The sequence below is a fragment of the Homo sapiens genome, chromosome 21, assembly GCF_000001405.40.
Source record: "Homo sapiens chromosome 21, GRCh38.p14 Primary Assembly".
NCBI classification, from domain to species: domain Eukaryota; kingdom Metazoa; phylum Chordata; class Mammalia; order Primates; family Hominidae; genus Homo; species Homo sapiens.
Window position 1 is genome coordinate 43,973,462 of NC_000021.9, and position 15,378 is coordinate 43,988,839.

The 15,378-nt window shown below is 51.4% G+C and overlaps 1 protein-coding gene across 28 annotated transcripts in view, besides 5 other annotated features; it reads left to right on the forward strand.

Annotated features, from left to right (window-relative positions):
- AGPAT3 (1-acylglycerol-3-phosphate O-acyltransferase 3) overlaps nt 1-14,131 on the forward strand; it is a 122,370-nt gene extending 108,239 nt beyond the window's left edge. For all 28 annotated transcript variants that reach the window (XM_047440922.1, XM_047440916.1, XM_047440921.1 and 25 more), the window contains 3 exons: nt 4,585-4,660; nt 7,528-7,726; nt 8,843-14,131. In XM_047440922.1, the coding sequence (XP_047296878.1) occupies nt 4,585-4,660; nt 7,528-7,726; nt 8,843-8,931 (364 nt within the window). In that variant the 3' untranslated portion in view covers nt 8,932-14,131. The remainder of the gene's footprint in view (nt 1-4,584; nt 4,661-7,527; nt 7,727-8,842) is intronic.
- Nucleotides 7,745-8,506: an enhancer, noted in NCBI's record as "H3K4me1 hESC enhancer chr21:45401087-45401848 (GRCh37/hg19 assembly coordinates)". NCBI's record gives its function as "activates a minimal SCP1, AML or CMV promoter by ChIP-STARR-seq in primed H9 embryonic stem cells {active_cell/tissue: H9 hESC(primed)}" and the evidence as "EXISTENCE:reporter gene assay evidence [ECO:0000049][PMID:30033119]".
- Nucleotides 8,507-9,268: an enhancer, noted in NCBI's record as "H3K4me1 hESC enhancer chr21:45401849-45402610 (GRCh37/hg19 assembly coordinates)". NCBI's record gives its function as "activates a minimal SCP1, AML or CMV promoter by ChIP-STARR-seq in primed H9 embryonic stem cells {active_cell/tissue: H9 hESC(primed)}" and the evidence as "EXISTENCE:reporter gene assay evidence [ECO:0000049][PMID:30033119]".
- Nucleotides 9,269-10,030: an enhancer, noted in NCBI's record as "H3K27ac-H3K4me1 hESC enhancer chr21:45402611-45403372 (GRCh37/hg19 assembly coordinates)". NCBI's record gives its function as "activates a minimal SCP1, AML or CMV promoter by ChIP-STARR-seq in naive H9 embryonic stem cells {active_cell/tissue: H9 hESC(naive)}" and the evidence as "EXISTENCE:reporter gene assay evidence [ECO:0000049][PMID:30033119]".
- Nucleotides 11,663-11,722: a silencer, noted in NCBI's record as "silent region_13375". NCBI's record gives its function as "represses an Ori minimal core promoter by ATAC-STARR-seq in GM12878 lymphoblastoid cells {active_cell/tissue: GM12878}" and the evidence as "EXISTENCE:reporter gene assay evidence [ECO:0000049][PMID:35858748]".
- Nucleotides 12,483-13,013: an enhancer, noted in NCBI's record as "H3K4me1 hESC enhancer chr21:45405825-45406355 (GRCh37/hg19 assembly coordinates)". NCBI's record gives its function as "activates a minimal SCP1, AML or CMV promoter by ChIP-STARR-seq in primed H9 embryonic stem cells {active_cell/tissue: H9 hESC(primed)}" and the evidence as "EXISTENCE:reporter gene assay evidence [ECO:0000049][PMID:30033119]".
- Nucleotides 14,132-15,378: the final 1,247 nt, after the last annotated feature.

The window sequence follows — 15,378 nt, forward strand, 5'->3', positions numbered from 1 at the left end:
CTGGGTGGTCAGAGTAGCTGTCCAAGGTCAGCACTGGCCATGGAGGAGCCCGGCCACCCGCCAAGCTGCACGGCGCCTCCGCCTCGGGTGCCACACAGCCCCCCACGGAGAGACTCCTCATCCGCCATCCTCCCTGCCGCTGCCTTTATTTTGCCCGATCATATTTTAATAAATACTCGCTTTGAACTTGTAAGGCTTCGGCTGTTCAGGTCACTCACCGCTTCGCTGTTTGAGGAGCAGCAGTGTCCCCGCGCGCCCCTGCAGCCGAGCCATCACAGCGCCAGGCTCCCCACAGCATGGGGCTGGCCCTCTTTCCTCCTGCTTTGGTGGCGATGCCCAGGGCCATGGGGAAGCAGGGCCAATGTGTGCAGGACGGCTGCAGGGCTCTCCTGTCCCCAGGGCTGGCCCCTGGGCCGAGGGCCTTCAAGTGGCTTGAGTCAGCTCCAGGAGGCAGATGCTCAGGGTGACACCCTGGGGTGCAGAAAAAAAATAGAATTTTTATTTATATTTACTTTTTATCTTATTTTTAATTCTTATGTTTATATGTTTCATAATGTATGTAACAGACATACGATAAAACCTGTATGTGGGGCATGTGTGGGTGTGTGTGTGTTCATGTGGGATGTGTATGTGTGGTGTGTATTATGTATGTAGTATATGTGATGTGTGCATGTGTGGTGTACGTATGTGCATTGTGTGTAAATTATGTGTGTGTTGTATATGGGTGTGGTATTTGCAGTATAGTGTGCATATAAATTATCTATGTGTGTATAAATTATATGTGTGTATAAATTATATGTGTGTGGTATGTGTGTAAAAATTTGTATAAATTATATATTCGTGTGGGGTGATGTATGTGGTGTGTGTATAGTGTGGCGTGTGTATAAATTACATATGTGTATGGTGTGTGTGATGTGTGTGTGGTGTGTGAGGTATGGTGTGTGTAAATTATATTTGTGGTGTGTGTTGAACTGTGTGTGGTATGTGTGTATAAATTATAAATGTGCATGTGTGTGCAAAATGGGTGGGTTTGGTGTGTGGGGTATGTGTGGTATAGTGTGTCATGTGGTGTGTGTGTAAATTATATGTGTGTGGTGTGTGTGTAGTGTGTGTATATAAATCGTGAGGGTGGTGTGTGTGTGGTGTGTGTGTATAAATTATGTGTTTGATATGTGTGGTGTGGTGTGTATAAATTATAAATGTGTGTGTGGTGTGTGTATATGAATCAGGGTTGGTGTGTGTGGTGTGTATAAATTGTATGTGTTTGATGTGTGTGGTGTGTACGACATGGGGCTGTGTGTGTCAGGGACCACAGCCAGCCAGTGTGGGCCTCTGGGCAGGCCCCTCCCCTCACTGTAGACAAAGAAGCCTCTGCGCCTCGGTTGTTCCTCACATGGCGTCTGTGGCAAATCCTCCCCATGCCAGTTGAACCTGGGGCCAATGTGAAGCTGCTTTTATTTACTGGGACGTGATGTTGTCTTCATAGCCATCTGCTCACCAGCATGCGGCAGAGGCTTGTGAACACTGCATGTGTGCTGGTGTGTGCTGTGTGCTGTTGTGTACTGGCGTTTGCTGATGTGTGTGTTGTGCACTCGCATGTGATGTGTATGTGCTGGCATGTTGCATGTGCTGGCATGTGCCAGTGTGTGCACTGGTGTGTAGTGTGTGCTGGCATGTGGTATGTGTCGAGGTGTGCTGGTGTGTGGTGGGTGCTGGTGTATGGCATGTGCTAACGTGTGGTGTGTTCTGGTGTGTGCTGGTGTGTGGTAATGTTTTGGTGTGTGCTGGTGTGTGGTGTGTTCTGGTGTGTGCTGGCGTGTGGTATGTTTTGGTGTGTGCTGGCATGTAGTGTGCTGGCGTGTGCTGGCGTGTGGTATGTTCTGGTGTGTGCTGGCATGTGTGTGGCATGTGCTGGCATGTGTCGGTGTGTGCACTGGTGTGTGGTGGGTGCTGGTGTATGACGCATGCTGGCGTGTGCTTGTGTTGCAACGAGACTCAGCTTTCACTTCTGATGGGGTGAGGATCCATAGGTGGAATCCTCATACACCAAAGCTTTGGGTTCCTCAGTTCCTAGACAGAAGTGTGAGGCGCGTGACCCTAGAGCGTGGAGACCTGCCTGGCTGTGGAAACCTCACCCATGGGCCCCGCAGCTCAAGCCTGGTCTTTCCTGCTCTGAGGTGCGTCGTCGCCCCCTCCTGGGCGCTGGGAGCACTGCGGTTGCCCGTGGACAGCAGGTTCCTACCTGTGTATCTTAATTTTGGGTTTTTTTTGTTTGTTTGTTTTCGTTTTTGTTTTTGGCTTACAACGCAGCGATTTGCTTCTCCCTCATAAAGGTCCACGATGAGCCCAGACAGTGCTCGGGGCAGCCCAGCTGTCCCCACCTGGTGGCACGGGGCCGCCCTTCCTTAGCAAAGTGATTCTCTGACGGCCGTCGCAGGGAAGAGGCAGCATTGAGCACCCGCTGTTAAGATGCTCCCTTACGGAAGCGACTTGTGGGAGGCAGGGATGTGTGTTTTTCTTTTCCTTTTTTTTTTTTTTAAGAGAAAACCACATTTTATTTTTGTTAATGTTGAAGTTAATTTTCAATAAAATTTTATAGAAAATGATTTTTATTTTTTTTTTTTGAGACGGAGTCTCGCTCTGTCACCCAGGCTGGAGTGCAGTGGTGCAATTTCATCTCACTGCAACCTCCGCCTTCTGGTTCTAGCAATTCTCCTGTCTCAGCCTCTCGAGTAGCTGGGATTACAGGCGCATTCCACCATGTCTGGCTAATTTTTGTAGTCTTAGTAGAGATGGGGTTTCACCATGTTGGTCAGGCTGGTCTCGAACTCCTGAGCTCGTGATCTGCCTGCCTTGGCCTCTCGAGTAGCTGGGATTACAGGCACATTCCACCACATCTGGCTAATTTTTGTAGTCTTAGTAGAGATGGGGTTTCACCATGTTGGTCAGGCTGGTCTTGAACTCCTGGCCTCGTGGTCTGCCTGCCCCTCGGCTTCCCGAAGTGCTGGGATTACAGGCATGAGCCACTGTGCCCGGCTGAAAATGAATTTAATTTTAATCAGTTTGACTGTAAGGCAAGATTTTATGAATTTCGTATAACTTTCATAATTGTTTTGAATGAAAGAGTACATTCACGTTCTAAGAAAACTCTTCAGACACATGAGCCAAATTTTGTTCTTATATCAGTGTTTTTAATTTTATTGCTTAATTTATATAAACAACCTGTTTATATAAATTAATAGCCTGAATAGCCTGTTTTGAATAGTAGCCAACTTGTTCAGATATGTGTTTTTCTTAACTGCCCAGAGGGAAGGGAGAACTGGGCACCAGTGAAAACAGGTCACGCCTACCTGACGTCTTGCCGTGTGGCTCAGTGACGGGCGCTGTGGACGTGGCAGCCCCTGAATCCCAGCTCCCGTACACACAGTATCACTGCTGCCTTAGTCACCACCGTCATCCTAGCTGGCAAACTTGGTGTTCTTATTAAATTGTAAAAGTATTTAAAAGATTTTAATATATCATATGTGAGCGGCTTACCCTGTGTACTTACTCAAATTCCAACTGACTTTTAAAATAAGAGCTGTAACATGTTACTCATTTAAAATTTTCCGATTAGATTTGTCCAATTAGGTAATTTGTAATTACCCTGCTTATCTTACCAAGTAGAGGTGTCAACTTGTGGGCTGCTAATCCATTTGGTAGATTAGCACTTAATCTTGGTAGATTTAGTATGTAAATAAATGAGTGTCCAGACAGAAATCAGCTATTTCATAATGGAGATGAAAATGCCTACATTTTTAATACTTTTCATATTTGAAGCAAGTGGATTTCATTTGTGAAATAATCTTTGCCTAATGAAAGACACTCTCAGTCATGACTGTCTCTGAAGAATGAACATATTAAGAAAGACCAGAACTCTCGGGAGCGCACACATGACCACCCTTCTCATGGGACCAGGGGCGTGGCCTGCCCGGTTAAATCACTCGTGGGCACCCTGGGGGTTAATGCTGCCGCCACCCTGCACAGAAGGCCACATCCTGGCCTCTCGCCGCCATGCCACGCTGACTGTGTACTCAGGGCGGATGCCTGAGGAGAAGCTCATTTAATGTTTGTTTTTAGAAATTGAGAGTGAGAGGCTGGGCGCAGTGGCTCACGCCTGTAATCCCAGCACTTTGGGAGGCTGAGGCGGGTGGATCACGAGGTCAAGAGATCGAGACCATCCTGGTCAACATGGTGAAACCCCGTCTCTACTAAAAAAAAATACAAAGAAAAAAAATTAGCTGGGCGTGGTGGCGCATGCCTGTAGTCCCAGCTGCTGGGGAGGCTGAGGCAGGAGAATCACTTGAATCCGGGAGGCAGAGGTTGCAGTGAGCAGAGATCGCACCAGTGCTCTCCAGCCTGGCAACAGAGCGAGACTCCATCTCAAAAAAAAAAAAAAGAAAAGAAAAGAAATTGAGAGTGAGATGTGACAGAAGGAGTGGGGCCCATAGGCCACCCTGGCACACGACATGTTCCCCTGTGCCCTCTTTCTAGTGTGAGGTCATGTGGTGATTCACCCTACCTTGAATCTTCTTCATAAAACAGGAGATTTCCTCTGGAAGACATCCCGCTGGATGAAAAGGAAGCAGCTCAGTGGCTTCATAAACTGTACCAGGAGAAGGTAAGCAGGCTCTGCTCCCGCTCAGGGTCCCGGTCTCCTGAAGAGGCTGTGGAAGGGGTGCTGGCGAGCAGGCAGGTGACACGTGGGAACTCCGTGGGAGACAGGAGTGCCACCCAGGTCCTAAATACTCCTGATCCTTCTTTCATTTCTTCTTTCTGTTGTTTTGTTTTGTTTTTGTTTTTGTTTTGTTTTGTTTTCTGAGACAGGGTCTCACTTTGTCACCCAGGCTGGAGTGCAGTGGTGCGATCCTGGCTCACTGCTGCCTTGACCTCCTGGGCTCAAGCGATCCTCCTGCCTCAGCCTCCCGGGTGGCTGGAGCTACAGGCGCAAGCCACCATATTCAGCTAATGATTCAAAAAATGTATCTTTGTAGAAATGAGGTCCCACTATGTTTCCAGGCTGGTATTCAACTCCTGGGCTCAAGCAATCTTCTGGCCTCGGCCTCCCAAAGTGCTGGGATTACAGGCATGAGCCACCACACCTGGTCCCTTCTTCTTAATGTTTGAGAAATTAACAAACTACAGACAAGTATGAAGGGTAACATGATGCCTGTATAATTATGGCTGGTAACATTTGGTCACATTTGTTTCATTTTCTTAAAAGACATTACAGGTATGTAACAGACATAGATGGTCACTAGACTCCTTGTATAACAGAAACAAATTAGGGATGTTAGAGCATTGCTTTGAAAACCACACTCAGTTCTTATTTCTTTCCCCCACGGCTTACTCAGCCCAAGAACTACTTTCTCTTTGTTTTATACGCACAAATGCATGGGGCATTCGATTTCCACTGTCGGCCTTGTGGGAGAGGAGATAACCAGGAAATCCTCCCAGGATGTAAAAAATATCATCGTAAATGCATTGATGGGCTCTCAAGAAAATAAGGGAAATCGGTCGGGTGCTGTGGCTCATGCCTGTAATCCCAGCACTTTGGGAGGCCGAGGTGGGCAGATCACCTGAGGTCAGGAGTTCAAGACCAGCCTGACCAACATGGGTGAAACCCCGTCTCTACTAAAAATACAAAAAATTAGCTGGGCCTGGTGGCGCATGCCTGTAATCCCAGTTACTGGGGAGGCTGAGGCAGGAGAATCGCTTGAACCCAGGAGGTGGGGGTTGCAGGAGCCAGGATCGCCCCATTGCACTGCAGCCTGGGCAACAGAGTGAGACTCCAACTCAAAAAAAAAAAAAAAAAAGAAAGAAAAAAAAAGAAAGAAAAAAAAAAAGGGAAATCTCCAGGACTGAAAAGGGAGGTGGGGCTGAGACTCGGTCCTGGGCCTGGGAGCCAGCAGCACCATGCCCACCTGGTGCTTTCTGCCTGCCCCATCCCCTGAAGTCTCGTGCTGTGATGCCTACATGGAAACAGAAGATAAAGATTTCCCCTCATTCAAGGCGGGACGTTAGAACCAAAAACCCCACATGATGCTGGGACCCTCTAAGAATTGGACCCTCAGGAAGGTTAAACTGGAAAAGAAAATTACCTCCCAGCACAGAGAAATGGCCTTGAAACCTGCCTTTCTCCTCTTGGGCTCAAGAAAGTCTTCCTGGGAATTCATAATTACAGGCCTGTCCTCCAACAGGCTTGAAGTTTGAATTTATACAAACAACATAGTTCAAGAAGCACACAGCCAAAATGTGTGTGCCAGGACACTCGGGGACATTCCGGAGGCAGGGAGCTGGGTGCTCAGGGGTGGCCAGGACACGATGACACCTGCCTTTGCACGGACACAGTGTGTGGCTGGCAGGGGGCACCCCAACCCCAGTTTCCAGCAGGAAGCTGAGAACCATGAAGAGATCAAAGAGATCAACTAGAAAAAATATCTTGAAGCCAGTGAGCTCAGTGATAACAGTCTCCAACCATCTTTAAAAGAGAGCGGGTCGGCCAGGTGTGGTGGCTCACATCTGTAATCCCAGCACTTTGGGAGGCCGAAGTGGGTGGATCACGAGATCAGGAGTTCGAGACAAGCCTGGCCAACATGGTGAAACCCTGTCTCCACTAAAAATACAAAAATTAGCGCAGTAGTGGGCACCTGTAATCCCAGCTACTCAGGAGGCTGAGGCAGGAGAATCGCTTAAACCCGGGAGACAGAGGTTGCAGTGAGCCGAGATCGTACCACTGCACTCCAGCCTGGGCGACAGAGTGAGACTCCATCTCAAAAAAAAAAAAAAAACAAAAAAAAACGAGAGAGTTGATGGTGCCCTTCACTACTTCCCAAGCATCCTAGAGTCCCACGGGCTGCCCCGCCCACGGGCAGTGGCTGCGGAGTGTCTGCTCTATCAGGCATGGTGATTTCCTGCCAGCCTGTGCCTTTGACATTCCCACCAGAGGCAGAACCTTCTGCAGGTGGCCCTGGCCAGGCTCCTCTCTCCTCCCAGCTCCTCATTAGCCTCCTTTGCCAGGCTAGGAAACCGAGGTATGCGAGGTTAAGGAACTTTCCTTGGGCCGTGCAGCTGAGAGTGCGCTTTGCAGGGATTTGCATCCAGGCCGCGGGACTCACACAGGCCACACCTGCCACCCCCACTGCCTCTGGCTCGTGGGAGGTGTGGGATGTGGCGGGTGGCCGGGGCAGTGCTGGGCAGGCAGGTGTTGGTATTCACAACGTTGCTTTCTTGACCGATTATTTTCCTGGGAGACTTCCTCAGTCAAAGGGTTGATATGCTTGCGAGCTCTCGATGCACGCTATCAGATTCTCCAAAAACGTACAGCCAGCTTCGCCTGCACCTGCAGCTTCTGTGATTTGTGCTCTTAATTGACGTGGCGCTTTTTTTAGGTTGAGTCGTTTTTCATTGCCAACAATCTTCTCCTGCATTGAAATAATAGCTTGTAAAGAAGCCTCACGCTTCCTTTTTCTCTGTTGACTCTTCTAGGACGCGCTCCAGGAGATATATAATCAGAAGGGCATGTTTCCAGGGGAGCAGTTTAAGCCTGCCCGGAGGCCGTGGACCCTCCTGAACTTCCTGTCCTGGGCCACCATTCTCCTGTCTCCCCTCTTCAGTTTTGTCTTGGGCGTCTTTGCCAGCGGATCACCTCTCCTGATCCTGACTTTCTTGGGGTTTGTGGGAGCAGGTAATGGACACTGTCGCTAACAGCTCACACTCTGACGGGCCTCACAGTATCAGCCACAGGGTCCGGGACCTGGTGACTCATCACAGTGGCTGTGGGAGGCAGGGGCCTGGCTGTTATGGACCCTGGAGCCAGGATCCCCCCACGGCCTGCGGGCCTCAGAGCCTGGATTCTTGCACTGAGCTGAGGGTCGCCTCCCCAGAGAGCCGAACGGCCGCCACCTGGCGCCATCCCCACTGCAGCCCCACTGGCTGGCGCCCTTGAGGATGCCGACGAGAGGGTCCCCGAGAGGGTCCCCAGCCCCCCTGTCTGCTTTTGGGCTCTTAGGGGTCAGGCTGGGCTGGCCATTCGGGAGGTTTAAGCAGGACATCATCATTCAGCTCCTCCCCATTGACCCCCAGTGACTTCCCCACTGTGTGCCCACCCCAGGCACAATGCCAGGCCCACCACGACTCATCAGCTAGCCTGGGGCCGAACAGACACCCAGCCTGTCCCTGTGGTGAGCTCCGGCGCCCACCCACACCCCGTAATTGAGGGGTCTCTGTCCGTGGAGACACAGTCCGTGTGCATCGCCCCGTGAGCCGACTCCCCAGGCCCAGCAGCTGGGCCAGCTCCTCCCCTGCTCCTGCCGCCCCTGCCAGGGGCCTTGGTGGGAGGGGTCCTGAGAGGCAGTGACTGCCACCAGCCTCTCCCATTGGACTACGAGATGACTTGAGGCCACCCACAGAGGACAGGATGTGACCTGCTTACATCCGAGGGTCCTGCTCGTCCACCTCTGTCACCTGTTGGGTTTGCAAGGCCGAGCTGTTAGAATGCCCCGAAGCCCTTCTGCTCCCACCAGCCAAAGACCCAGAGGGGCAGGCAGGGCAAGGTCCACGTGTCCACCTGCCTCGGACCCAGCCGGTCAGAAGACGTGCCCCTCACCCCTGCCTGAGCAGACCACGGTCTGAGAGGGCTGTCTCCCCGCGGGCCACACCTACTCACTGACAGCAGAGGCCACTGGGTGCGGGGCAGAGGGACAGGGTCTGGGGCAGAGGAAGGAAGCCCCAGTAACACGTTTTACAGCAAAAAGGCAAAGTCATCCGTCTCACCTCTTCTCTCTCTCTCCTGTCTTGAAAGCTTCCTTTGGAGTTCGCAGACTGATAGGAGTAACTGAGATAGAAAAAGGCTCCAGCTACGGAAACCAAGAGTTTAAGAAAAAGGAATAATTAATGGCTGTGACTGAACACACGCGGCCCTGACGGTGGTATCCAGTTAACTCAAAACCAACACACAGAGTGCAGGAAAAGACAATTAGAAACTATTTTTCTTATTAACTGGTGACTAATATTAACAAAACTTGAGCCAAGAGTAAAGAATTCAGAAGGCCTGTCAGGTGAAGTCTTCAGCCTCCCACAGCGCAGGGTCCCAGCATCTCCACGCGCGCCCGTGGGAGGTGGGTCCGGCCGGAGAGGCCTCCCGCGGACGCCGTCTCTCCAGAACTCCGCTTCCAAGAGGGAGCCTTTGGCTGCTTTCTCTCCTTAAACTTAGATCAAATTTTTTGGTTTTTAATCAGTTATCTTGGGAACTTAACCTGGCCCCTCACCTCTTCTGCACCCCCCGCCCCCGAAACTGTCTCGTAATGAATTTCTGCTGTCCTCCTGGGAGTGGACGGCCGGGTCCCGTCCCCCGGGAGCATCGCTCGGCTCAGCACCTTGGCTCCCAGTGGGGGCCCCGTGGAGGGCGCCCGTAGTGATAAGCACACCGGCACGAACGTCAGGTCCATTCCTCGAAGTCGGAGCCCTCACTCTGCCCTGTCCTGGGGCTGGCTGAGGGCGAACGCCCCACCTCACTTTCTAGAGCCCTGTCTGTCCTAGCTCCTATCTGACCTTGTGTGTAAATACGTACATCTGTTTTTAAAGTGGATGGGCCCCTGAGAACTCAGTGAAATGCAGAGTTCTCCATGCACCTAAAGCTCCTTTGTCGCTCTCATGGCTGTCAGATCCTGGTCCCTCCACACTGGGTGCTGGGGAGGGAGGACCCTCGGGGCTACCGCGCGCCCCCCCATCCCACAGATCAGGAGCCAAGGAGGGAGAACAGGGCAGCCTGTGGGACTCTAGGATGCTTCAGAAGAAGCGACGGCACCGTCAACCCTCTGTTTTTTAAAGGTGGTTGGAGACTGTTAACACTGAGCTCATTGACTTCTAGAGATTTTATTTTTACTGGTTGATCTCTTGGTGGTTTTCAACTTCCTGCTGGAAACTAGAGGTGGGGCACCCCCCACCCCCCAGCCTCGCACTGTGTCCTTGGGGAAGGCCCGCCCCCATCCTGGCCGGTGTCACTGTGGCCCGGCCACCCCTGAGCGCCCAGCTCCCTACCTCCTGGACGTCTCTGAGAGTCCAGGCAGAGCAGAGGGCAGCGCTCGGCCGGTCATGCTGGCTCCCTTGGCCTTGCAGCGAGCCCCTGGCCCACGCCGAGCGAGGGATGCTTCTCCCTACAGCATGTCCACTCCCCCGGCATGGCCAGGTGGGGCCCCTGGGGCAATGGCAGTGGTAGAACGCTCAACTTGGTTGCGGTACCATCAGCCCACCTGCATTTGGCTTTCGACTTGCTTGTTCTAAGTCACAGCGCCCTCATCTTTTTAGCAAGGTAAAAAAACCAAAATGGGTGTTATCTCTGATATCTTGAAACCAGCGTTCTGAATAGAGGTAGGTTGAGTTTTCTAGGGGAAAACAAATGGAGAAAAGAGGCATGAAGAAAAGTAAACCGAGAACATAATTAGGCATCGGGCCTAAGTGTCCTGGGGAGATTGGAGGGGACGGCAGCGTTCTGCATGATGGAGGCGCTGCCGGGCCCCGGGTCTGTGGGGGCCGTGCTCTCAGGGCGTGTGCGGGACGCCACCTGTGCACACCTGCTCAGAGCACGGCTCCTCGCAGGGGTGAAGGGGCAGACCAACGAAACCAGATGAGACCAACGACACCATGCGAGACACGCTTGCAGACACTGTTGTTTTGGAAATGTGCTTCCCTCCATCTGAAATCTCATCCCTCCACCCGCCCACTCGGGCAGCTGTGCCGTGGGCAGGGCATGCGCTCCCCTGGCTGAGCACCCCAGAGATTCTCCTGCACCTTCCTCATGCCGCACGCTGCTCATCCGTCTCCATGTGTGTTTAGATCCATGCCATTCACTGACTCACTAACACCTGCAAAATCTTTAAGGAAAAAAGCTGAAGGGTACGACCATGCACATATGTGACCTGGAAAATGCAAATTTAGATCTTTTATGATTTAATTATTATTGTTTCCCATAGAAGTTCCCTCCCTTTGAAATTAATATATAATGTATAAATTCTGCACTGAGCCATGGCGGAGCTGGGCAGCCCCTAGGTTAGAGTGGAGACGGAGGCCCAGGCGCAGGGGTCACACCTCATCTGGTTTCCTTCCCATCTCACAGCTTAGCTTGTGCTTCTCAACACCAAGTCTTTAAGAGCAATAAAAACTACACCATGAATGTTTGAATTTTTTTTTTTTGGGGGGGGGAGGGTGGATTTTGCTTTTCATCCAGAAGGAAAAGGGGAGGAGAGCTCCTTTACATTTTTTAAATTAAATTCATAAATCCCAGAACAGTCTTTTTTTTTTCTTTTTCCTTTACACCCTACTTCTGAGCTTAATTCAGTTGATGTTATGTCCAAATTCAGGCTGAGTGCTCAGGCTGAAGCAACTCTGTAGCCCACAGTCCGTGCTGGCCACTGTCGGGGTGAGGCACATTCTAGGCCTGGCATCGCTGATGCCCTCTGCACCCAGTCCTTGAGCCAGGCCGAGGACAGGAAGGGCATTGCTGGCCTGTAGCTCCTGTTACCCACCCAGAGCCAGGCGCCACACTGGAGGCTCCCAGGCGGGAGGGCCCAGGCCCACCCACGGGCGTCTGGCCGGTCAAGCTCCCAGCCTGGGCCGTGGTCTCCTGGGGACGCCGCTGGCCTCCCAGCTTAGGCCCAGGTGCCAGGTGTCATGGGGTCTCCTGCCCATCTTCCCAAGGATGCCATTGCTGTCTTCATCGTCTTCCCCCGTGTGAGACACTGGTTGTCTGGTACTCGGCGACAGTGTACCAGACGCGCACCCTATGTGAGGTGCTTTAAGGTCCCTGTCCTCAGGAAGCGCAGTCTGGTGGAAGAGATGAGCGCTGAACAAATCACTAAATAACACAAAACAACAATGTAAGCAGCACTTTCTTGTGTAAAAAAAAAAAAAAAGCACGTCCTGTCGATGAATTTTGAGTCTCTCTGCCTTGCCTGTCCCGACTCCCTTTCGCGCACCGTGGCATGAGAATCTTTCCTCACGCTGTTCGTTGCGGTATTGCTGAGCATTGATGTTGATTTGAAGGAAAAGCCGTGGTTGGACCCAGCTGTGTGTTTCACTCACGTGCAATTGAGTAGCTGTTGCCAGGCTGTCCATGCCTGTTGTGACTACCGGTTGGGGTCAGATTTGGGGTGAAGAATGAGTAAGTTTCTGCATGCTTTGTCTCTACCTGAGACACTTCTACAACAAGCCAAGTATAATCTCTCCAGCCCTGCAGATTTTCACCTGACTTGTTCAGCCCCATGCGTAGACTCCCGCTGCAGGCCTCTGGCCTGTGGCTCACTGCATGCAGCCCCTGGCGTGCAATACTAGTGCTCCACGGCGCGATGTGCTTCTAGCCCTTGCACTGCACCTAGGCTCAGGGTTCAAACGGCCAGCCCGAAAAGCCTGCCTGCCTTCTTTCTGGAAACAGCACGTCCCCGGCCGTGTGCCTGCCCCTTTCTCTACTGAGCTAGTCCCCAAACCAAAGGCAAGCCCCCTCGGGCCTCGGGGGATGGGGCCGGCCACACCCCTGACTCCGCCCTGGCTCTGCCCCATACCCCTGCCGTGGGGCCGACCTGGGGGATGCAGACATCCGGCTCCGTATTCCTGCCTATCGGGGCCAGGATGCAAAAACAATTTTTGCGTAAAAGATGTCACACTGATCTGCTGGAGTGGGGTGGACACATGAATTCAGTTTTATCATGAACACTCGCCACTGGCTGCTTGTTAATTCAGGGATAATGGTGGCATTCTTACAAACTGCTCGGGAAATAGAATGACGGGAACACTTTTAGGGAGCCCAGGAAGTTACCAGGGACATTGGTGTCGCCGGCCCAGGCAACAGCAGCGTACGCTTTTCAAAGATCATTGAGTTGTCTTAGAATTTGAAGCTGTGTAATGACAATGTCACCTGGAGTTCGTCTCCATTTCTTAACTTTTTGTTGCACAAGTATTTGGACAGAAGTCGAACTGTGAATGAGATACTGAAATGCACTAAATTGTATTACATTAAACTGGAGTTACTTGATACAATGAAGAAATGCATCTGATCTACTTGTATTTATTGTCTCAGAATTGTACGTTGTGACAATCAAATGTTACTTGCCTAAATGCCAGGAAATTCAACTGGCCTTTTAATCAGCAAGATCGCCAGCAAGTACTGTAACTGTAAAGGAAAATCTCTCTCTCTGGAGAACCCACACAAACCATTGACCTGAGTGCGCATGACAGCCACTGGCTTCTTTTTCTATGATTGAAAATCTGCCATCGCTGACTGTTGGCCAGTTTCAAAGGGACCCATTGTATACAGGGTGCAAATGTATTATACGGATGTTTCCTTTTGTACACTTCATTTTTACAAGTTTTGCTACTCACAAGCTTTATGTAGTGGAGGATAGAGGTATTTTTGGTCTTTAGAAGCTTGTCGGGGTGAGGGCTGCTAACTTACACTTCAGAGGCCTGTGTCCCAAAGGCCTGGCTGCGTTTGCCGTGCTGTGCGAGGACCTGTGTACACAGGCAGGTGTGCGCCTGCCCGAGCGCGAGTAGCTCTTGTGTAGTGGTGAAATGCTGCAGGCATCTGTTTATTAAAATTGCTGCTGTGAAAGACAGGGATAAAATATCCACAATATAAGAGAAAGCGACTCCGTGCCTCCTTCTGTTTCTTCGTTTCCAGTCTGCATAGATGTCTCCAAGGGGAAACCAGGGCCACCAGGCACTCCTGTCCCATGGGGCCACCCACCTTCAGAGCCCACTCCCACGGGCTCTGTTTCCTTGGAGGCCATCCTGCCGATGGCACTTTTCAAGGCCCTCCCTTCCCTACGAGTTGCTTTCTGGGAGGGGAAATTGAAAAGGAGAGCGGTCACCTGGCAAAAACACAGGGGAAATCAGCCAGTCCACAAAAATACGCAAAATGACCTGATGATGTCCAAAAAAGGGTTTTAAAAGCGATCAAGGACAAAAGGTTTTCCTAAGTGGCATGTATACATCCAAAACTACTCTTTTTTTGTAAAAACATTCATCTGTGGAGAAAACCAAGGAACCCCTTTCTCTTCTTTATTAAAAAGCAAAACAAAAACTCTTGTTAGAACCAAAAGATATTCCGAGTTCTCGTTTCGTGTCTTCTAAAAATAAGCTAAGCTGAAGAGTCTGGGTGTCCACATGCTCCTGGGAATGGCCCTGGCAACCTTGGTGACATGCTCTCTGCTCCGGGGCTGCCTCCTTCCCTAATGGCATCAGTGAGGGTGACAGGTCCATGCTGGTGCTTAGCCCAGCTCCTGAGAAGCTGGGAAGGCCTGGCTCAAAGTCCTGCGTCCAGATGCCATTTATTTTTTAAAATATATCCTGAAGTCAGAGCACCCAGAATTTTGCATGATGTTCTGTTGTTTTCTCGGGAGATGAAAGTGAAGTGCCTGGTGCCACTTGGTATGGGGATGTCATGGGTGGGTCAGGCCTTGCCCTCTAACAAGAGGGACTGACTTGCCTGAACCCCACTTCGCCTGTTTGAACACAAGTGCTCACGGGCACTGGGGGGCAGCCATGCAGACCCCTTCGGACTTCATCACCCCCAGCATCACAGGCATCTGGCTCACCCAGGAGAGGGGCCAAGGTTAACCATGAGGCCCATTGCCTGCCTTTATTGGCCCAGATCCCACCTCCGCTTCACCCAGAAGCTCAGTACGTAGGAGTCAGTCCCTGCCACCTGACATTCTGGGACATGTGAGTGTGTACACATGTGCATGCATGCACACACCATGTGTGTGGGGACCTTCATAGCCATACGCATGCACACATGTACACACGTCCCAGCACACACACGGGCACACCTGAAGAATAAGGGGCAGCGTTAGGAAGTGGGCTTGGGAAACCATCCTCTTCATGTCTCTTCTTGTTTGTTTGTTTGTTTTTGAGACGGAGTTTCGCTCTGTCACCCAGGCTGTGGAGTACAATGGTGTGATCTTGGATCACCGCAACCTCTGCTTCCCGGGTTCAAGCGATTCTCCTGCTTCAGCCTCCCAAGTAGCTGGGATTACAGGCACCTGCCACCATGCCCAGCTAATTATGTATTTTTGGTAGAGACAGGGTTTCTCCATGTTGGTCAGGCTGGTCTCGAACTCCTGACCTCAGGTGATCCACCTGCCTCGGCCTCCCCAAGTGCTTGGAATACAGGCGTGAGCCACCACAGCTGGCCTTCTTCACGTCTCTTCTGAGCATAGTGCCTGAGAACCCGGAATTGTCCAGGTGGCTCACACAGCAGCAGGGTTCATGGAGATAAAAGCCCTTCTTGAAGAAAGTGGCCCCCCAGGGCTAAGGAACTTGATGAAGAAACCAAACAGTCCCGTG